Source organism: Homo sapiens, chromosome 2, assembly GCF_000001405.40.
Source record: "Homo sapiens chromosome 2, GRCh38.p14 Primary Assembly".
In the NCBI taxonomy this organism is placed as follows: Eukaryota; Metazoa; Chordata; class Mammalia; order Primates; family Hominidae; genus Homo; species Homo sapiens.
This window is the reverse complement of record NC_000002.12, coordinates 40,277,580-40,301,880: the sequence shown is the minus strand read 5'-3', so window position 1 is coordinate 40,301,880 and position 24,301 is coordinate 40,277,580. Positions and strand designations below refer to the sequence as shown.

At 37.4% G+C, this 24,301-nt stretch overlaps 1 protein-coding gene across 23 annotated transcripts in view; it reads left to right on the top strand.

The window, feature by feature from the left end:
• The window catches only part of SLC8A1 (solute carrier family 8 member A1), a 415,166-nt gene that overhangs the window by 210,555 nt on the left and 180,310 nt on the right, over window positions 1-24,301 (top strand). The gene's annotated exons all lie outside the window — the stretch shown is intronic.

The following is a 24,301-nucleotide window of genomic DNA, read 5'->3' as shown; positions in this document are numbered from 1 at the left end:
AAAAAAAAATTGGGGTTCAGTATATATACTGCTTGGGTGATGGGCACACCAAAATCTCACAAATCACCACTAAAGAACTTACTCATGAAACCAAGTACCACCTGTTTTCCCCAAAACCTATGGAAATGAAAAATTTAAAAAAGAATTTTATGGATAAGGAACTTTCCATATCTGGACCTCAAGTGATCCACCTGCCTTAGCCTCCCAATGTGCTGGGATTATAGGCGTAAGCCACCGCACCCAGCCCCAATTTGTAGTCTTTTATCCCTCACTTCCCTCCCACCCTTCCCTCCAAGTCCCCAAAATCCATTGTATCATTTTTATGCCTTTGCATCCTCATAGCTTAGCTCCCATTTATGAGTGAGAACATATGATCTTTGGTTTTCTATTCCTGAGTTACTTCCCTTAGAATAATAGTCTCCAGTTCCCTCCAGGCTTTTCCAAACCTGAAACTTTGAAGACAGTTATAGCCTGAAGGTAATCAGTTCAGATTCAGTTGGGATAAGTTTTGGATTCATATTTATGTTCTAATACTAACTTAGCCACTAACAGCTTTGTGGCCTTGGACAAGTTATCACAACTTCAACTTCAGTTTCTTTATGTCTAAGATGGGACTTATAACATCCAGTTTATAGTGTTGTTTTAAATCTTAAAGGAAATAATACATATAGAGCACTTAGCAAATTCTCAGCACATAGAATTCAGTGAATGAAGGTTATTATCACTATTTTTATCATTGTTTTTATCCCAGGTCATGGAGCTAGTTAGTGCAAAAATCAAGATGCAAAGCTGAAGACCACCTATCTTCAGCCCTCTGAACTTCCTTGAACGTTTTTCTTCCTCTATATCCAAAAAATTGTAGGGATCAACCACATTTTCTTACCTCTTTTCACCTTGAAATATCCCTATCCTCATAAAAAGGACAATTACGTATAGATTATTACTAAATATCAAGTAAATCATCTTAACCTACTAGTGTGAGAAATGTGTTGGTAACTCATCACAGTTCTTTGCTCTACATATTTGGTTAAATACTTTGTCCTGGATTTTTAAGATCATTCTGCCAAAAAAGATACCCTATAAAGCAAAATGACTGCTGCAGCTCGATTAATTTCTCAACGGCTGCTGGTGTCTTCAGCCTTTTCCTGACTTTGCTCCTGGAGAGGCTTGTCATTCTTAGGGCCAGAAGGGCTAGGTTTCTGGTCTCCAAAATCTGAGCTCAAGTTCTAGTCTGTGGTGAAATTGAAGCCTCAGAGCATGAGTCTGAGGTTTGAACTGTGGAGAATTCCTGGGGTCAGAAGGGCACAGTGGGGCTCAAGAAACTAGTTTACCATGCATGTCTTGTTTCAGACTTACGCTGAGGCACGAAACAATACTTTGTTTTTGTGGGCCAGCCTACGAAACAAATAAGAAATGTAGAATGTCTTTTTTTTTATGGAATGGAACATTCTGGATTTTAAACACTCGAACTTCTAAAGCAGTGAAGCACATCCTGGCTCCACAGTTTGCTAGTCACATGACCTTGTATTAGGTATGTGACCTGTCTAGATCTGCTTTCTCATCTGTCAGATGGGTGTGATAACAAGAATGACTTTATAGGATTGCAGTAAGAATGGAACAAGATAATACTTAGCATTGTACTTAACATATACTTAGTATATACTTGGCATATATTTAATATGGGGAATCAAGCCCCAACTGTTGTTTTTTATTTTTATTTTTGTCACCAAAGCAAGCAGCATAGATCTTCATGGGCCCTCAGGGCTGGGTTGGCAGACTTAGAAGATCCTGTGGCCCAGTTTCAGAATTTTATGGATAAGGAACCTGAAACTTTGAGGACAGTGATAGCCTGAAGGTCTAAATACTTTGGAAGTATTGGTGCTGTATGCGCAATTCCTTTCCCAAAAGCCAGGAATGTGATAGAGATATCTATGCATGCATGGGATGCAGGAGTTTGGGAGGCTCAGGGAGGCTCATAGGGAGATTCTTCTGGAGATTTTGCCACTATTTTGTCAACACAACTCTAAACCGATTAGTAGGGAGAGAGGTCTGCTCCTTGGCAATTCACTTTGTTTCTGTCCTAAGTATAGAAAAAGGCCCAGGGATTATTATGCTGAAACTCTCTTTCACCGAACTGCATTTCCACTTTGGAGGCTATTTGGGCAGAGGCAGATGGGAAGCTGTTGCAGGTGTAGCATAGAGCAATGGCATTGAAGGTGGGGGAGGATTTAGGCAAAGAACCCAGTCCCCAGATTCCTGGATCATCACCCTTACAAGTCCAAATGTTTGCACATCACCTCTGCAGCACCTCTTCCTGAGAATTGAGCCAGCAATTTGTCACTTTAAATCTCCTTTGCCTTCCTAACGTCACATCCAGTTTCAGAACAGATCTTCCAGGGCTCCTTCAACTCAAGACAAATAATCCAAGTAGGAGATGAGTTCAGCCACAATTCTATTAGAGCATGAGGGAAAGAAAAGTCAAGAAAGGAGGAGAGTCTGACTGCTGACAGTGCAATCTTGTGACTAAACCTATCTTTAATAAGTTTTTCTCCACTCTGTAGAATGCAGGCAGATCACTTAGGCAATCAACTCCCTTTATGGATAATGAGTGTGGACATCTTTCCTGGATCCTGATGCCAGGAGATGTAGAAACAAATGGTTTGTGACACAGAGTCACAGAGCCATTAGCTGGTAGGTGCAGCCCAACAGCCTCACATGGCTCTGCCACCCAGAAAGGTGGGGTGTGCGACACTTGCCAACCTCAAATCCAGGTCACTTGGTGAGAAATACCCCAAGTAACTGTGTTGCTTGAGAATCAGGAGCCTGGAACATTGTGTTTTTCTTACTCTTTGAATAGCCGAGGCCTCCTCCCCAAGTAGATCCAGGTTCATTGCCACTCTCTTTACTCCCAGTATGTGGCCACTTTTGGGGGGAGTTAGATTAAAGGGGTGGGGTCAGCAAGGAGGGGAAGGCGAATTGATAAGGCCAAGGCCAGAGTGTGAACATCTAAATTGTTTATTCTATGTAGTCTTCAGAAACATCCATAAGTTCTAAATCAAGGAACATCTATTTTATTTCACCATCATTAGTTACTGTACAATTATATTTAAAATCCTATAAGCTTTTACAGTTTTCTGCATGCTTTCCTTTACCATCTCTTATGTCATCCTTACAGCACGTATGTTACCATTTTACAAGTTAGCGAAAACTTGAACATAGTGTTAAAACCATAGCCTTCTAATTTCTTTCAAAATAGATTAAATGGTAGGATTTATCTGGAACTAATCGAGAAGATTAATTCATCAGCTTGAGGGACAGCAGAATATTTGTGAATATTTTGTTACGTATTATTTTTCCTGAAATGAGTACTCCCCTGTGTGCCTCATTCTCCTACCCCCAAAATCCCTTAACTAATTACCTTTTTTATAGGAAAATATAAAGACTGTCTTCATAAAACCCATTACATTTAATCTGTTGAAAACAAAGTATACCCGGTTTTCCAATTCTATAACCAAATCCATTTAGGGAAAGAAAAGAGCCAAGTAGTCATTGTAATGTGATTGCTAGCCGGAGTTTTGGTGGAAGCAGTTTGCTGGACAAAGTAGCCAATTTGTGTTTGATATGTGTGCCCAATTTTTATCACCCACACTAATTAGCCTCAGTCAGCAGAAAGAACACTGGGGTTTTTTAGGATGTACAGACCAGGCATGGTGGCTCACACCTGTAATCCCAACACTTTGGGAGGCTGAGGTGGGTGAATCATCTGAGTTCAGGAGTTCGAGACCAGCCTGGCCAAGATGGTGAAATTCTGTCTCTACTAAAATCACAAAAAAAATTGCCAGGAGTGGTGGTGCACACCTGTAATCCTAGCTACTCAGGAGTCTGAGGCAGAAGAACGGTTTGAACGCAGGAGATGGAGGTTGCAGTGAGCCGAGATCGCACCACTGCACTCCAGCCTGGGCGACACAGTGAGACTTTATTTCAAAAAAACAAAAAACAGATTGTTAAATCATGTAACTTCATCTCAGTTGTGTTTGGAATTTTTCAGCTTAACATTTTATAATAGTAGCCCCTCCTCTTGAATTGAAGATGAGTCATTAAAGCTTCATTCATTTCTTGAGACTGTTACTCTACCAATGCTAAAATCACTGCACTTTCAATAAGGCATTTTAGGATTTCTAAGTTATGTATGGTAAACAGCTGGATGAAAAATTCAATTGCATTGTTTTTCCAAACTTACAGATGATTGGTATAAAGAAGGTTAAGTCTTTAGATAAGTAATGAAAATGTTTGCTTTACACAAAGTAGAGACTATACAATGTTTTATCTCAAGATGTATTGATGTACTGAAAAAATGCATTTTAAATTTTTTCCAGAAAACTACTGAGTTACAAAAAATGGGTCATCGTCCCACTTTGTTACACAGTGGAAATGATAAATCTAGGTAGGATTTTATGCCTGAAAGAGAATCTTAAAATGTGTCAGTACATTTTTGTTTCAGATTTAGAACTCAGGTTCTTGGAGACTATGAAATGTGTCCAGAGTCACAGAGCAAGAAAGTGGCATAGCTAGGACTACAAAACAACTTTTTCAAAATCCTGAGACTCTCCCAATAGTTTATGAACATGTATTTATGTATTACATATTTATTATTGAACATGTATTTCTGTGTCTTGCAGTCACTGGTTTTGAAACAGAATTAAGGGATGAATAGGATATAATGTCTGCTCTCAAGGAACCCAGTTTCAATTTCTATGTCTTTTGACACAGTGCCTAGTGGTAAGATCAGGAGAATACCATGAGTATCATGTGCCTTCAGTTCACCAAGACATGTAAGAAAAAAAAAATTAATTATAGTCACATGACCCAGATGTAGAAATATGAGGTCAAGGAGGGCTGGATTATGTAGCTCATTACCATTATCATTAATGTGTATGGCTTGACATCAGCCTGGTCTAGAGGGAGTTTCTAGTGGAGAGCCATAGAACAGTCCTTGGCTAGGTGCATCCAATGCTTTGTCAACTACCTGGGTGAAAATATAGGTTAATTGGTGAACTTGATGATGACATAAGTAAAGGAAATAGAGCAAAGATAGCTCATGGCAATTTCAGCATCAACAAACGTTTCCCACAGGATGGGGGATTAGTCAAACATAAAATAAATAAAACATAACAAGAGTAAACATAAAATATAGCATGACAACTAATATAATTTATTAAATGATTTAATTTTTATTTACATTGAAAATTTTAGCAGAGTTCTGTCTTTAACTTTGTTTTATTTGGTATAAAGAAAAATTTAAAAATAATCAGAAGTAGGATTTAGGAAAATTGTACCACAAATTGGATTACAAATAAAAAAGGGAAAATTTTGGCTTTGGGAACTTCAATTATGCCCAGTTCCCTATGACTTACTTTATTTCTTAAAAGTGTTTTTAGCCTTCTATATAGAGGCAAATTTTGACTTTTTTCTGTTTGCCCTAAAGCAGCAGCCTGAATTTTGTACATTAAATAATGAATCCCTTATATTCCATTGGTCTGTAGCACCTTCAAGTTGCTCAGAAGAAGGAAATGTCATTCCTAGAAATTTTGAGACCTAGTCATTTCCCTCTTGGGGTCTCCTAGTTAAGGAAAAAGTAACCGAAGCACTTTCTAGCATGTATTTTTTCTAGAGTCATTTTTAATATGTTTCAGTTGCTACAGAAGGAGTACTAACATACATTGCAAATCAGATCCAACTAAATGAATTAAGGAGAGTGAATTGAGGCCCATTTCTTATTTCCTTGCAAAACTGAGTAAATTATTAGGTTTTGTAGCCAAAAACCCAAGAGCAATAACAAGCTCTATAGACAATAAACACAATTCTCAAATTCTCATTGTGGTGCCTGGGCGCTAGAAATGCCTTTCTCTCTATACCACCAACACCCTCCTTTCCTTGGGTACACTGTCTCTCTTCCCTTCTCCTCCTGCTCACAAAGGCAAGCTCTTTCAGAAGTACGCAGAAAGGGCGATTTTGGCCTTCAGTTTTAATGATAGCTGTCTTTAGACATAATGAATTCTAATTGTAGATTATTTGTGGATGGTCTGAGAGTCAAGAGTTGGTGTTAGTAGGGACTTGTTAAATATATTTCCTTTATAGGATTCATAATCTTTCAATCACATTATCACTATATAGGAGTTAATAAAATCCAGCGTCAATACTTCATGATTCACAGGTGTTTCTTGTGCCTCATTTCATTCTTATGATCAATATCTGCTGGATCGTAATCCTCCCTTTTAGCATCTGGCACATAAATGACTTTCTGTATGATGCTAATTAAGTAAAATGAATTTCAGGACAAAAAAATTTCCCACTTCTTTACTAATGTTTATAGATAGATATTTAGAAGGAAATGCACAAATTATTTTAGAATGACATAGTATACACCAAATCATTATAACTTTTATTATGATTTTTACATTCAATATGTTACTTTTTTGGCAGGGCATGGTGGCTCACTCCTATAATCTCAACACTGTGGGAGGCTGAGGCGGAAGGATCTGTTGAGCCCAGGAGTTTGAAACTAGCCTGGGAAACATAGCAAGACCCAGGCTCTACAAAATAATTTTTTAAAATTAGCTGGGCATGGTGGCTTATGCCTGTAGTCCCAGCTACTCCAGAGGCTGAGGCTGGAGGATCACTTGAGCCCAAGAGTTTGAGACTGCAGTGAGCCATGATTGCACCACTGCACTCTAGCCTGAGTGACAGAGTGAGACCTTGCATCAAAAAAAAAAAATAATAATTGTTTCTTAAATAACTTTTCAATCCATTCTTTATTAAACAACTTTATGGATTATCTGTAGTTATCATTTTTCTCATGTATTATGCTGTGTGTCTAAAGATATTTGGGTAAAGTTCTGAACTTAACATAGTATAACTTTTTTCTGTTCCTTTTGTCACCCCGGTGGAAGCCATCTATTCAGAACTTTATATGTGCTACATACAGATTATACGTACATGTGACTATAGACCATATTAAATTGAATTCCTTAATAACATGTTTTAATTGTTAGGAAACAAAATTATGAACAGTAAGCGCTATACCTTTTTAGTTATTGTTTTTAAAGTGGGGGTGAAATTGCATTTAACTTTATTTTATAAAACCAGGCATACATAACTTTTTAACATTTAAGGATATAAAATTAAAATGATTGAGATGTTTTTTAAAGAGTAAAAGGGGAAAGTTCTCTTCAAGCATCTGCTTATAAGCAAGAGGTGACTACGCTTGGTTGAACAGATTCTTCTAGACCTTTGTAAGGAATGTATCCCTCTCTCTCTCCCTCTCTCTCCCCATATATATATATGCAACTTGCTTTTTTATTCAACCTAAAAATATGCCCTAGGTGTTTTATCAGTAAGTTTGGGTCTACTTCATTTTTTAATGGCTGTCTGAATTCAAACCCTAGCTTAGCCACTAAATACCTCTGTGGTCCCCTACAACTTACTTTACCTTATCTTTAAAGTAGGGAAAGTAACTGAAGATTGTTGTTGTTTTGAAGACAAATTGAGTTATTATGTGAAAAGTGCTTTAGAACAGTTCCTGGCAGATAGCAAATAATCAATATGATAGGAAAAAAGGAACCTCAAATGATGGACATTAAGTTGTTTCCAACTTAAAAAAATGATGCTGCATTAAAAATCTTTATGCACTTGTGAAACTTTATCTGTAAGATAAACTCTTAGAAGTAGCATTGCTGCATCAAAGAATACACATAATAGTCTCCTTGTCCATTTTGAGCATAAAGATATCTCAGTGCAGTTTGAGGTGAATGAGCAGCAAATTCTAGTTGGTTTCCCTCTTACCATTCATAGCTTTATTGAAAACTTTAAACTGATTGCTATGGATTCTGTTGATCCCAACACTTTCTATACTCCAAACTCACTAAAGCTGCCATATACACCTTGATCTTTGCGCCCAATCAATGCTGTTTCTAAAATAACATCTGGATACTCTGTTTTACGACTGACTCAGTAATGTTACAAGTTTGATTTTTTTTGTTTTTTATGACATAAAATTATGTAAATGAATATACCATAGATAAGTCTACATACCCTATTCCATCTATATGCCTCTGCACTGATAGCAGTAGAATAGTCACTAGCAAATTGCACCTAATCGAGGACTTTTCAATTGCCTTGAAGTAACCAGAGAGAAACTAGGTCAAAAGCTTAATAGAGTTGCTTTCTCTGCCCTTCACTTAGCATCAATAGAGTGATTTTCCTTGCTCTTAAAAAGCCCTGTAAAGCTAGATATTAAGTCCCTCATATTAAGGGAAGAGAGCAATGTTTAAATTTTACCTAAAGGATATGCTCCTATTGAGAAAAATGTGATTTAAAACATGAATGATTGAAACTTCCAGTGACTAGTATACAAACTCTAAAGCTCCAAGTTTAGATTAAGGTTTATTTAACTGGACACAGCAGCATCAATATACAACTTTATTTACAATCCAGAGTTATGGCTGTCAATTTTTTGCAGTCTTCATTTATTTACTTTTATTTTTTAAAATTCTTTAATATGACAAATATTTATGTAACTCCTACTTCATGTTAGCATCCATGTTCCCTGCCTTTGTGAGGCTTTCATGCCTTTGTGAGACTTTTAGATGAACCAAAAGTACAAATGCAGATTGTGAGAAAATGCTATAAAAATTAACGAGGTCAATAGACATTGAATAGGAGGATCCTGAGTTAACTTAGGTGTTCAGGCAAATGAACAGTGGAGGAAAAGCATTCCAAGGAAGAAGAAACAGCATGTGTAAAGATTTTCTGGCAGAAAACAACAACAACAAAATAAGATCTACTCTAAGAAGGGAAAGAAGGCCTCTGAAATGAGGAGCAGAGTGATCCAGAGTTAAGATGGAAAGGCACACAGGTCCTCTTTTCCCATGATCTATGGTTTCTCAAAGGCAGTTGAGATCAATTTCCAAATGCGTATTCTCTATGCCCTACCTGACAGTTCACTAGATGAAGGAATAGATGTTGTTATTACAGAGTTTGGTAAGAGAATAGGCAGCGTAATTTAACTTTCCTTTTCTATTCTGTTAGCACTATTCAAAGTCTTAAATCTCCCAGTCCAGCAGCCTTTTCCTCAGGATGACTTAACAAAAGACAAATAAAAAAGTACAGTGGTGTGTTGAGAGGGGAACCATTATTTTCTGAAGTCAGTTGACAGAAGGCTTCCAAGGTCTTACTGATTTAATAGATCACAGTCACTCCTGTGGGTGCACTTCTCTCCATTAGGTCTTCAATCCACACTGTATTATATTCTGAAATGAGCCTTCCTGGGATAGATTTGTCCCCATGATGGATAATCATGTAAATCCTGGCAGGTGACCAAGTATGTCTCTAGAGGGGTGACTCTGGAAGCAGCTGTTCCACAGCAGCATAACCCAAAAATCTAGCTTAGACACTGGAGACAAAGCCCAAAGCTCTATGTGAGAGTCCCTGTTTGTTTGGCAGTTTCATTGTCCACGCCTCCAAAAGGCCATCAAATTATGAGGCAGGGGAAATCATGAGAGACAGGATGGATCAATAGTCTGACTTGTCAGCAGTAGGCTTTTGATGGCTTCTCTTGTGTACATTAGCATCAGGGGTACAAAAGTTCTGAAAAATATATTTTCTTTTGTCAATGCCCTAATGAGAGCACATATGTCATAGAAAGAGAAGAACCCTGTATATTGGTCTCATGGTTTAGTTTTTCCTCCCTCTTTTTAAAATTTCTTTCCACTGTACCACTTGTAATACTCTTTATGTGGTTTCTATTTAACTGACCATGTACTTGTAAAGACTAGAAATAAAATAATAATTAGCTACCTGCATGTGCTAGAAGTTAATATGATGTTAGATCTCTGACATACGTTGATTATAAAGGTGCTTTTAATGGTTTGTATCTTGGAAGGATTTAGAGCTCGTGGTGTTAAAAAAAAAAAAAAAAAGTAAAGATGTCTTGTCCAGCACTCAGGGTGTTGTGACTGAATATGACTTCAACCTCGCAGTGAAATTTAAGAGTACATCCATTTTAGCTCATCTAATGAAAATATGATAAAAATGTTTATATTAACTGAAAAATCCAATGGATAAATGCACTAACATAAAATAACAAAAGGTGCATTGAGAGACATTGGAAGTTATTCTTTAAATATTTGAGATCATGTGGTTCTTTCAGAGGTGATTTTAGCAGTACTTCTCTGGACTGGCAGGTGGGCAAGTTTGCTCATGTGGCATTTTCAAAATGCACATTCAAATTATGCCATTTATAGAGGTCCACTCCTCTTTCCACAAACCCCTGCCTCTTTGAGTAAAACTGTCCTAGTGACTCATCTAAAAATGGGAGCGGATCACATCATGCTGTTGGCGCCCTGGGCTTTTTCAAGGAACTCCCAGCTTGAAACCTAGGAAACTTTCGGAATATGAGCAGGGGAACTTATCTTTCTATTGTTGATGCAAAGCATTGATTTACTTTTTAAATTGTTTATTTTATGAACACAGTGAGAAACTCAGCTATAAAGCTGTGTCATCATACCAGTGACTTCCATAAACTCAAAATCACTGATTGAACACTTTGGACAAGCCTTCTCAATATTCATCTGTGGCTTGACATTTTAGACTGGAAAGTTTGTTTGAGAAAATACTCCTAATAATCAACAGCACAAAGCTTCTTCATGACTGAAAAGAAGGGTCTTCTTAGAAAGATTGTGATAAGAAGACTGAAAGAAGTCGCCTACATCCAGTTCCCTTATAAATAAAACTATAGTTTGTACTATGATCACTAGACACCTACCAGAAATTCCAATCCTGATGTTCAATTGACATAAAATTTACCTGCTGTAGATTACATTGAATTTTTATGTCTAGAAAGTTTGCCCACTGATGGGACTTTTCTGTCATAGGCATAAACCTTTTCATCAAAGTTGCCAGAGGAATCCATTAGAGTTTAACCAATTTGCTTGAAACTTTCTGTTCAGTTTTTTAACTGGTATGTATCAAAAGGGAAGACAGGGATATACCTATATAGACTGAAATATCCATATGGGATATGCATATAGGACTTCCAAACATCTAAGAAATAAAGAGAAGAAAGTTGTTATTACTCATTATTATAGCTGTAGTAATGGGTATTTTAGGATCCTTCAAATCCTGTTGACTAACACATAAAATTACCTCTGGCAAATAAAATACTTTTTGTTTTCTGGATCCAAAAAAAGATACCACTGTTTTTAAAATATCCATTTTTCTTCACTGTAATTCTCTTTTTGAGTATTTAACATGGACTTATGGATAGTTAACCAGGCAAATGTGACAGCAGCAAGATCTCCCAGGACGCACATTATGGTAAATCTGGCCCAGACTCTGCTGCCGTCTTTTTCTTTGAGACAATGCACCTGCTTCTCTAGAAGCATATATTCTATAGAAGGGGATGAATAAATTGTTGTGCAAAGAAAATGAAGTTTAAAATCTAATGCTATCTCCGAACTTTGTGAGAATCAGTGCTATATATGGGTCAACTAGAAGATACAGAATTTGCCTGAAACTACTAAACCAAGATAAAAACAAAGAAACAAAGAAACCTTTTTTTTTTTTCAGCTGCAGTTATTTGCCTTTCGTACTGCGTTTCCCATTCTTTCACTTTCATTTCATCCAGGCACCTTGCAAGGCACAGTAATGAAGAGGATATGGGGTCTCCTTGACTTAATGGAACCAACAGTTTAGGTGGCAGTCCAACCTGAGACTAAATAATAAGCAAAAACTCCTCCTCCTTCCTTTCCCTGCCAAATTGACTTATGTCATTTTAAGTTCACTATTACAGGCCTTTTAATTATCCAATGAAACACTTGCTCAAGACTTCTCCTAGCACCAACTACCTAAAAAATATGTTTGTCTTCTAATCTACTTCCTCATCTCCCATTCCTGTCTGCTAATCTCATCATTTTTTCCTCCTTATTTTTTAATTTAATTTAATTTAATTTAATTTAATTTTTGAGACTGAGTCTCGCTCTGTCGCCTAAGCTGGAATGCAGTGGCACGATCTCGGCTCACTGCAACCTCCACCTCCTAAGTTCAAGCAATTCTCCCTTCCTCCCCTCCTGAGTAGCTGGGATTACAGGCATGCACCACCAAGCACCACCAAGCCCCTCTAATTTTTATAATTTTAGTAGAGACAGGGTTTCACCATGTTGGCCAGGCTGGTCTCCAACTCCTGACCTCAAGTGATCTGCCCGCCTCAGCCTCCCAAAGTGTTGGGATTACAGCCATGAGCCACTGCACTGGGCTGTTTCCTCTTTTTTTAATAACTTTTTTTTGTTACCTTTCTAGGGAACCAATATATATTTAATGGGATTGTCTGGAGACAGTAGCTCAATTCCAATGGCTGGCTACAAAATAAGGCATTTAGGGATTCAAAGCAATCTGGCAAGAAAGTTGTTAAGGTTTCTTTTCGTTTCTCTCACAACTCCCAAATGTGAAATCACATTTGTAACCTGAATAGAGAAGTTGGATTTTTTCCCTTTGCATTGTACTATAAACTAATAAATTTTCTAACCAGACCAGAAATATTATTACAAATAGTTTAACAATATTTTTCAGCAGACTCTGTCAAAGTAACTTATTTTTTAAAAAAAACAGGATTTGGTTAATCTACCTACTTTTTTATTCTTTTGTAGCTTATATCCCTCTACTTTCCCCAAAGGGGGAAAATGATATTGCGTAAAAGTTTTATAATACATTTGACTGAAAAAAAAAAGAATCAGTCATCGTATTTTAGCATTACATTTAGTTCTGAAACTAATATGGTTTATAGAACATAGGATAATATTGTCCAGTCAAAAGATATGGTCATTTTGGCCCAGTGGCTCACGCCTAATCCCAACATACTGACATTTTGGGAGGCCAAGTTGGGAGGATCACTTGAGGCTAGGAGATTGAGACCAGCCCAGGCAACATTATGAGATCCCATCTCTACCAAAAAAAAAAAAAAATCATATATATACATATATATATATATATATGATTACTTAGTAGAGACATTTTCGAAGTAAAGTATTTTTTAAGATTCTGTGGGATCAAAAAAGTATTTGTTCACTTTTACCCACTGGTGTGCTGGTAAACTAGCTCCAAACATCCATCCCCAAGGAAAAGTCCTGATTTGTAGCACTTGCCTATACCCATGATGTAAATACTATGCGGATGATTTCTAGCCACCAACATGAAGTCACTAAACACAGAACTGGGGAGAGGTATACATAACTGACTCCCAGGATGAACTGGCTGCAGCACAACACAGGGGTTATTCTCCCTGTGAAGTTTTCCTCAACTTGGGTGTTTCAGCTGAGGTAGAAGTGGAGGGGAGAGGAGTAGGGGCTGGGGAGAATATTAGCCAAGCCATGACCAGCAAGAATATCTCACACTGATGAGGTTGCACTGAAGCCAGATCATCCCTGGTGGAACTCCTGCCATTTCTCTTTTCCTTTAGTTGAGCAAGTATTCCCTCTGAAGCCTATTGTAAAACCTTATCTCTATTTCAGATTTTTAAATAGCAAATGATTAGCTTTCCTAAAATGTGATTCTGCTAAATAAAAACAGCAGGTGAAAAGTTGATTTTAAAGTTTCAGGTCATATGTGTGAAATCCTAGGAACAATTCTTGAGGGGGTCTATTATTTGTTTTTAGATGAAAATTCATGAAAACACTATCATGAATGCAAACCCCAAGGCACTTGTATTACCAGAACAGACCCTCTTGCCTGAAGCAGTATGCAAGGTTTGCAGAGTCTGCAGGGAAGCAGTGAGGATCAGGACAGCAGAAGGGGAAAGCAGAAGTGGTTTCCAAGCCAAAGGACCAGGAGCTGCTTTCACACTAAAATTTACTTCTTTTTATTTTCCTGGTTGCTTCAGGACAATACCCATCAAAGTCTCATAACGTGCGTGTTCTTCCTCTTTCCAGAATCCCTGCAGGAGCCCTGATCAGAGCTGGGGTTTGGTGAGGCAGGGTGTTGTGAGTGACAAGCAGCAGAGCAAAGGGAAAAATGCCTTCAGTTCCCACGCTTCCTCTCTGCCCTCTAGGACCAGGATGTCTCTTCATTATCACTGCTTGCAGAGCCCCATGCCAGTTTCCCATCCCTGAGTCCCTATCCCTCATCCTCCCCTGTTCCTCACTCCAGCCTTCATGGCCCTGTCCTCCCAGTATGGTAAGCTTGAGCTAAGATGCCCCCTTGTCCCTGCATGCACACACACACACACACACACACACACACACACACACATCATTCCTCTGCCAAGTCCGCTGAAAGAATGAGGAATTGGATTGCCTTCTGCAGGGAGCTTTGGGCAGGTGTATGTCTGGCATCCCAGATATTATTCTTATTGGAACAATAGAACATCATGAGTTTGCATGCTGAAGTCTATGATTCAGGGTCATTATGGATAATGTCAGCTTCTGTGAGTGCCTGACTCCTATTACATCACTGAGAACACGTATAGACTGCTGCCAACATATTTTGGAAACACAGCTGTTTTCTAAGCTGTTGATTCACTGACATCTCAACCAGCCACTGAATTCTACACCTAAACTTGCTTGTATTGTTCTCTAATTATTATATTTGTGTTTGTCTTTTCTACTAATTTAGACATCAAATGCTGAATATTATACTTTTGTCTCAAGGTGGTAAATATTTACTGACAGACTGGTAACATGATGAGTCTTACATATTTTTTTAGTGTTCTCTGCCAGACAGACAAGCTGAGTGTAACATTGCTTACTGAGTTCCAAATTGTTTTAAATTCCTTTCATGGGAGGTAGGTGACCTGTTACTCCTGTGAAAGAGGGTGGATATTACTTGAGAACCCTCAAAGTCATTCTTAAAGCCTAACTCCATGTCTCAAATTGCACTCAGATGGCCCAAAGGCCTGATTCCAGCCTGTCGTGGTTGCATCATCTTTCACTTGAACGTGCAAGGACGAATACAGGTGCAGAGCTGGTTCAATCATAACTTTGATCAGACCAATCAAGCACATGTGATGTATAAGACAACATGATCCATAGAGCACTGGTATTATCAATTGCTCCATGTGTCACACAGTAGGTCCCTGGTTGTTTGGTTGCAGCTGAAAATTACTTTCAGAATGGTTGTGAAGAGTGTGTGTGAATATAGCTGTCCATCAGCTCCGGACCATGGAGAAAGTCATCAGTGGAACAGAAACACCAGTGTAAGGGGTTTGCTTTGTTTCTTAAGCTGGCCTTTAGTCCAGTTGCCTTAGAACTTAAACTTCCTATCTTACAGACCAGTCGTTAAGGTGAAGCCAAGTCTTTTCTCTTTGTCCATCAAAGGCTGATCCACGGAGTTCACTGGTCACAAAACTGTCTTCTACAATCAGGGATTGCATTTTAAATAAAATTCATGTAGTAGTCTTAACATAAGCATGTCTCAAGCATGGTTACCTCTCAAAATAAATGGTCTTAAGGCAATGGCAACCTAGAGGAGGTGCCCTCTGTCTTTCATATCCTGGTCTGATTTGTTGTATAGATGACAGTATGGAAGCTTGAATAAGGAACAGCTGAACAGAAGATGCCTTCCTGTGAACCTGGGGTTATCCCTATAGTGAAGCCTCTTCTCTTGAAGATAAAATGGAGTAAAAATAGTTTGAATGAAAGAGTCCACCTCTGGAAGCTGCAGCAGGCACCAGAGTAGGGAATTATATTCATTGACTGGACAGACATCTATTAGCTACTACTGTCTGTCGTGTACTAGACACTATTCTAGGCACTGGGTACTGAGCAGTAACTAGCACAGAGAACCAGCCCAGAGTTCTGAACTCTGGCTCCTAGGGAGCACTTGCCCTGGTCCTAACATTTTCCTCTTAAGAGTTTTCTGCCATACTACTTGCATTTCAAACATCATTTTGGCAGTTATTCTCTAATCAGAAGATCATATAAGGAACTTCAGGCAAAATACTCTGTTATTAAACAACATGAAAGAAAGAAATGGCAAGCACAAAGTTCTATCTATAATATATATTTTTTATGCACAGGGACCAGTGTGATTTTCATTTCTATCTCAGTTAACTAATTATTTTGTTGTTAAAAACCACATTATGAATGACTAGTGAAGAGAAATGAACAAAACCAAAAGCACTGCAAGTTTCCCTACCTTATATGAGCAAAATACCTTGTTTCACCAAGAGAGTAATTAACTTGGCACACAAGGCTTAGCAGAAAAGCCAAATTATCTCATGTGTAAACACTGCTATCTTCTTCTTGTCTGTCTGTGGTAATGGGCCACTCTACCATTGTTATAGACTTGGATGAATCACACTCAGCATTTGTGGGGTGACATAGATAAAGCTTAATATTTAGACCAATTGTTGCTATACTATGGGAGAAAGAGAGAGAGAATGTGAAAGAACCAGACAAACAACAAAAAAAGAAAACACTAGAAATTGGCTGCCTAAATCAGCCCCATAGTTTATGATGCTCTTGTCTTTTACACAGTGTTTACTACTGAAAGCATGGGTCTGTCCTTACAAAGAACCCTTATCTTATAGTCTTGAAAGGGTTAAAGAGAACGTCTGTCAGATGTATATTGTAGTGATCAAAAAATAAAGGCTTTGGAATCAGCCCTAGGTTAAAAATCCCACTTTGTCTGTCTCTAACTGCGATCTTCTCAGGTTTCTATTTCCTCATCTGTAAAATGAGGACAATAATACCCAATTCACAGAGTTGCTACCAGAAGCTTAATAAATGTCTCTTGAAGGAAGCAATGCTGCCATCTCTCTGTTCCTGGAGTCCAGCTGACCATTTTTCAAAGATGATTGTGTGAGAGGCTGTATTCTATGACTTATAAGGCTTATAATCATGTTATTGACTCTGACATTCTCTGGTTATAAAACTAGAGTATCAAAATGCATGAGAGTGCCTGCTCAGATAACCATCAGATGAATATGAAGCTTGCTCATCCCTGGGAGTGCAGAAATCAGCTCCTTTTACCTCTTGAAGAAGTGGATACAGCATCCTCTACTGCTCAATTGCATAAACCAGCACTTGTCCTTGGTGAGCCGTTGTTTGCACGGATGACATTTCTAAGACAAACTTCATGGGAAAAGAGATTAGAGTGGCAGACTACACTTAGGAATTTAGAATAAGACCAAGCAACAAAAAATGAGAAATTGTGTGTGTGTATATATATATTTATATTTATATTTATATATGTTTTTCCCCAAAAGCTTTCAATTTAATTTATATATATAATGTAATAACAAAATATCTATATATAGATATATAACAATATATATAACAACATATATATAAATAGAGATGTTATAGATATTGTTGTCTATATATATTGTTGGCTAGATATGTATGTATACATACATATCTATAGATATATATCTATAGATATACATTTATATATAGATATATAGATATATAGATCTCTCTATATAAATATATGTGTATGTATATATCATATATCATACATAAATATATGTATATATCTATATATATTTATATAGAGAGATCTATATATATGTCAATATCTATAACATTTCTCTAAATATATAGCGAGATCAGAGATGTCTCTATATATTTATATATAGAGAGAAATATGTTATAGATATTGGCATATAGATATAAACAACTTATAGAGATATATTGGTATAGATAGCTATATCTATAGATACAGATATCTAGAGAGAGAGAAAGCACACTTTTGGAGAAAATGGAAACAATGTAATTCGTGTGCAAGACTTTATACAGATAAGAAATAGGTTTTTTAAATTAACCTCCTTAGGGTCTGAGCTATATTTGCAGAGTCATTCCATAATACGGCCAAGCCCACTGCTTCTCCTAAACCACTAGAACTACATTAACAATTACAAGCCTAGTTTTTCTGGACTCTGCCAAAATACAGCTTTGCTTTTCAGAAAAATAAAAGGTGGGGGGTAGTAGATATGCCAGACCACTGACTGTTCCAGTTTTTATTTTTCTTCTGCCTGATCACAATTCTCTATTCTCCAGCCTTTCTTGTCAATGAAAGTCTAACCGTGTTCTATCTTCGGCGTCTATTGTTAGGAACGCTGTCAAGGATATAGTGGGCATTCAGATTCTTCTAGAGAATGAGTTGTTTTGCTTTTGGCAGAAAGGACAGCTGCAGTGAGCTGAGATAAAGAGCATGGAGCTCTGACTTTGATGCGTTTCAAGCACTGGGTGCAAGAAAAAATTAAGCAATGTTCATTTTTCCTCTTTGTGCTTTGCCTTTGTTTTTGTTTTCTTTCGTAATTTTGGAAAGGGTTGTCACAAAAACAGTGCTGGGTATGTGAAAATCTTCTCAGTGCTATTGGCAGCTGATGACTCTTGTGTAGGTGTCTTTGAGAGGGAGGATCTAACAAACACCTTTAAAGTGATCCCTGATGAACCATCTGGGTCTTAATACTCTCCAAATAACTGTTCGTTATTCTCTTTTATAAGCCATTGTCTGTCAAAGATCCAGATGTTTTACCATTTGTTGAACTTGTTTTTCAGGTTTATCAAATAATCAGAGATAATAATAGCATCAGGCTCTTACTATGACACCAGCATAGCTGGAAGAGAAGTCATGAAATCATTGGAAACACTAGCCTTACTGTATCTTCACTTTCACATCCTCTACCTCTCATTAGAGAACAAAAAGGAAAACATTTAATGTTTTTGGATTTTATTTTATTTTAACAGAGTGGACTAGTTGTTCTCTTATCCTGTTACAACCTCAATAGCTTCTAAATCGTCTTGGAATCTAGTAGAATAGTTAATTAAGTAAAATTTGTGGCTTGATAAAGAATAAATGCTTTTTTGAGAATAAGTTGTGGTGAACTAATAAAAATCATGTCTTTTCAGGAAGAACCTTTAATAAGTCAGGATCATTTGGGCATTAGCACAGGCCATCACTATACAGACGAATAAATGATAAGGCTAACCCCAGGGTCTTCAAGATTCACTGGGAGTCCGGGGTATGGGATGGGAAGAATGTCTGCATCTGATTGGGTTTATAGTGGTTCAGAGTTCAACTTCTCCTTGCAGCCAGCATTTGGATACTTTTAATAGCTGTTCTCTGTTACTGGGCAGGACTGGACACAGAGAAAATGATGACACTCTTTAAAATTCCTGGCAATTATTTCCTGCAAGAATGAGATTCCTCCCCGGCCCCAAAAGCTACGTCATGTTTTTATTTCGGTACTAAACGGAGCAAAGGAGCGTGCAAAAATGAAACTGATGCATCTCACTTAGCATTGCAGTTAACGGAAAGGAAATCTCTTGAGAGCAAGGTCTATTTTTTATTTTTAATCTTGGGTAATAATAAAGTTGGCAGTCTGTATATGCCTGAGTGCGTAAACAAATGTACATAGGCAAACTTTCAAACTAGACATCCTTTGTATCAGTAAGATGGATGCTCAATGTCTTGGGTAATACAGAGATACAGAAGAGACAGTCTTTACCCTTGCTGAGTGTGAAAAGATCCTTCGTTTAGTAACTGTAACAACCATTCTTTTTATTGTGTTTTGTGTCTGGGGTGAGCAAGCTGAATTCTGGATTTTATTCCAGATCAGAAATTACTCCTTATTACTAATCCAGTCTTAAGGATTTACAGAATGTTTTTCTTTCAGATTTAGTTAAATTTCCCAGCATGCCTCTGAATGAGGTAAGAAACATACATGTCCTAGAAGAAAAAAAAAGTCAGAAAAAGTGGCATTTTACTGTATTTCATTATTTTGTTATTAGAAGGAGAGGACACAATTTGATACACCAGCATCAGTCATTAAAGGTACGCTCTTGTGTGGGGGAGCTGTGCTGAAGGGATAGAAGCCAGTAGCTAATCCACTGTTATACTTTTCTAGAAGAATAAACAGACTCCTGTGAACTACCAACTTTGAGTATTAGATTAGGATAAATCCAGGAGGGCTTTATTCCACCCAAAATTCAAGTGAAGACAGAGTCTTCAAAAAGCCCCAGGATGAAGAATCACTTCCTGAGAATCAGGGAACATTTACCTTTATTAACCATCATTAGCTGATTCCGGCTTACAGAAATTCCCCTGAGAATGGGTGTTGAAGTAATCACTGCTCTCTGCTCTACTTCCTTAAAAAGAAATCAGTTTTAAATGATGGGTCTTCACTCTTTCCAGACATTCCCAGCTCCACAGACTTAACAGCTTTTCTTTGTAAGTTGCCTGAAGGGAGCAGGGCTTGAAATCAAACTCATTCTCCATTAGACTTGCCAAGGCCCCAGGCAGTGCTGGGGAAAGGTAGCTCCCTTTGCAGCATAACTTTCACGAGTGCAAGTTGGGACTCAAGTCCTGAGACAGCTCACAAGCCCTGGCTGATTTAACTTGCCACTTTGTAGCTATTCTTGGCACATAGCCTGCATAGAGTTGGCCTATGAGACTTTTCTCTGTTTATAGCACCTTTCAACTCAGGCACTGAGAATGCTGACCAACAGTGTTGCTTTTTTTGTTCTTATTGCCCTTTCCAGAAACTATGTAAAATGGAAAACAGTTCCCATTTCTCTCATTCCAGCTGTGCCATCTGAGAGCACATTTCTCAGAGCACCCCCCCAACCCTTTTTTTTTAAATACATGACCACAAAAATGTCTCAGGAATGAAATTCTTTGAAAAGCTAAGACTTTCTTCTGCCCCATCCCTGGTAAACTCCGTTTGTTAATAAGTGCTACCATGGGTGCTTTGGTGAAGTATGTTTCACAGGTGACTCTTGTGAAATCTTACTGTCATTCATTGGCTCATTCCATCAAAACTAAGCAGGCAAGTTATAAGTGCAAGACAAATGGGAGGTACAAAGATGTATCAGCCTGCTTCTAGTAGGCTACAGTCCACCAGGAAAGATAAGCAATAAAAATTCATTCTATTCATGCTAACAGAAGTACAGACAACGTGCTGAGTTACTGTATAAAGAGATTGATTAATTCTATTTGAGAGAACTGAAGTCATGTTTTACCCACCTCTGCTTTTGCACAAAACATTCTTCCTGCCTAGAGCACCTTTGCCTGGCTATTGTTACAGGGTCTTCAAAGACTCCATTCAGATGTCACCTCTTCTTAGGAGCCTTTCTTGAAACTTTTGGTCTGGATTCATTGTCTCTTTTTACTTCATTTCTGTATTTATATCTGTGACATCATATATTAATTATTGATGTGTGACCTCTTTGCTGAAGTGTAAGACCCCAGAAGGCAGGGATTCAATCTTTTATTTCAGCATTCCCAGTGCCTGAATGTCACTCTGCTTTCAAAGAAAATGATTAATAAATGAATTAGTTAATTTAGCATGATGGTATTGCAATTTGTGTGCTTATCAGAGTTTTATGATTGAAGGCAAATGTGATATTTGTATATTTTGACCACCAGTGTTTTACATCAAGAAAGAATAGTTATCCAAAAATGGAATAGATATTTCCATGTACTCATGTGAAAAATTATCTGTGGGGCTTTTCAGAAAATGGGTTTTTGTTACTTTTCCATTAGGACAGATGTTTTATCCTGTGACAGAATGGTAAAATTAAATTTCAGGACTTTTAAGGAAGAGAAAACAACCTTTTTTTTTTTTTTTTTTTTTTAGTGTTTATTTCCTCAGGTTTTATCATTAGATTCTTTTATAATGGCAGACATTCATATTTTAGAGTCATATTTTAGTCAGGTTTACACTATCAATATTCATGTCTGTTTTTGCAATCCAGAGATAATCTTTAAAAGCAGAAATCTATCTAAAAGGCTAGGGTTTAAAGTTCTTTTCATTTTCACTAACTCCTTAATATGGTATTCAGTGTACTCCATAGCTTGCAATTTACAAATGCTGTATCTACATGGTCTGCCAATACAGATGCAATTGTATATTAATCAGAATTTTTAAAATCAGAATGGAAAAGAGGCAGGGAACAATTTTTAAAAGTTTAATAGATAAAGAAACAAAGAAAATGTAGGAGAGCTGAAGACTAAATAACAAATGCATACAATAGGAGATTGGTGAGCTACAGATTTTTAGTGAACTGTGCATGTTGGGGGCACGTGAGAGCTCACCTCCCCTCAAAAAAACAGAATGTACCAACTTTTCACCCTAGTAACAGATTTTACTTTGCATGCCAGTGTACTTTACAAGGCTGATGTAATGACTTCTTCCCCTAAAAGAAGGACTGAAATAGGATTTCCAGAGCACACTTGGGAAGAGATATGCCAGACCCTATCAAACATGGAATCAAATATAGCATCTCCGAAATTATGTCCCTGTGCAATGAAAGTTGGTTGGTTTGCCTTAATAGGTCTTGCTTTCTTCCTCAATAACAATTAGGAATTGTTCCATTATGTTTCAGATGTCACAGTGCCCCAAATTGATATTATTCTAATCACTTCTCCTTATACTAAAGATCCTAGTTTAAGGAATTTTTTCTCAGTTTCTGGCACCCACTTTGGTATTCAAGAGCCACTTTCTGTTTTAGCAGCATTTGAACAAATCGCTTCTTTCAAAAATCTGTATTATAGATTATTGCTAAATTGTCCAAGTGCCCTGTGCCTGCTTGAATGCTGTGAGGCTACAATGTAGTATAAGGGAGCCAGAAAATTGCTAGTTGAAGGCAAAGCTGTCTAAAGTGAAAGTGATATTAATAGCAGTCCCAGGAGGATCAGATCGGCTCCTGGATTCTCCATGGTCTTGGGCACAAAGAGACAACAGCTGTAAACTACTCATAAATAGCTATGGACCACACATTTCAAAATGTCTTCATCAATGGGAAAACAGTTTTGATTCTTAAAATTGCAGGCTTGAATCAGGGTTTTGGCCTTGTAAAATAATCAAGCTGTCACATCTTAAAAATCTGAGATCAAATTTAAAATTCCATGGCTCTGGAATAACCATTAAGACCCAAAGTAAGCAATATTTAAGCATCTGGGCTTTGAAGAGAAGTCAAAAAATTTTAGGGTAAATCATTACCAAATAATAATTTAAAAAAAACCTTTTAATAAATAATACTGATTTAAATTTTACATGTTTTTAAAGAGTTTAGATGTCAAGTGGGGGTTTCTGTTTTTTTCATTGTGGCATTAGTAGAAGACTAAGAGCAAGGTATGCAGAAAGAAAAGCGAGATGAAGTGCCATCTTGTCCTAAGTCCACGTACCCCATCAGTGTGCCTCATAAGAGAAAATGAAGGAGAGACCACAATGCCCTTAGCCTCCAGCACTTACTCTCTCACACTGAGGTATGTCGCTTTGCCCACATTTGGCATTAGATCCTTTTATTTGCACATGTGAATGAATAATATGCAAAGTTACTCTACTCTCCCCTTATCATTTTGTGATGGCTTTTCTTTCTTTTTGTTTTGTTTTGTTTTGTTTTGTTTTGTTTTGTTTGAGACAGAGTCTCGCTCTGTCGCCAGGCTGGAGTGCAGTGGCGCGATCTTGGCTCACTGCCACCTCCGCTTCCCAGGTTCAAGCAATTCTTCCTCCTCAGCCTCCCAAGTAGCTGGGATTACAGGTGCGCACCACCATGCCCAGCTAATTTTTGTATTTTTAGTAGAGATGGGGTTCCACCATGTTGGCCAGGATGGTCTCTATCTCTTGACCTCATGATCCACACGCCTCGGCCTCCCAAAGTGCTGGGATTACAGGTGTGAGCCCCTGCACCCAGCCTGTGATGCCCTTTTTTAGAGATACAGGTAAATAAATTATAGAGTTAATGTCTACAAAAATAACCATTGTATATTAAAAGTGTAAAAACCAGTGATGTGATAAACAAGGTTATAAAAACAAAAAAATTATTCAGTCACTTCAGGAAATACTGAGATACCTACAGATAACCTGGTCAAATCCTAGTTCTATCATGTAGACTTACATAAGTTACTTTGCCTTGGTTTCTCTGTATGTAAAATGGGGATAACAACATATTTATGTTATGATGTTGGTGTTAAAATTAAATACATTTTAGATGTAAAGCTTTTATATCCTTAGGACAGTGCCCTGCACATAGTAAGCAACCATATGTTACAAATATATATATATATATATATATATATATATATATATACACACATATATATATATTTATACATATGTTTATATGTACGTATATTGCTTTTGTTCCTAGTTTTTGGTTTATTTATGTAGTCAAATGATAAGTATTATTGATTTTATTACAGCCATTATTTGTTGACTGTTTATGACATTTCAGATGCTGGGCTAAGGTCTTTGCAGTGATTATTCCACCTAATTTTTATGAAAACCTTATAAGGTAGCTACTTT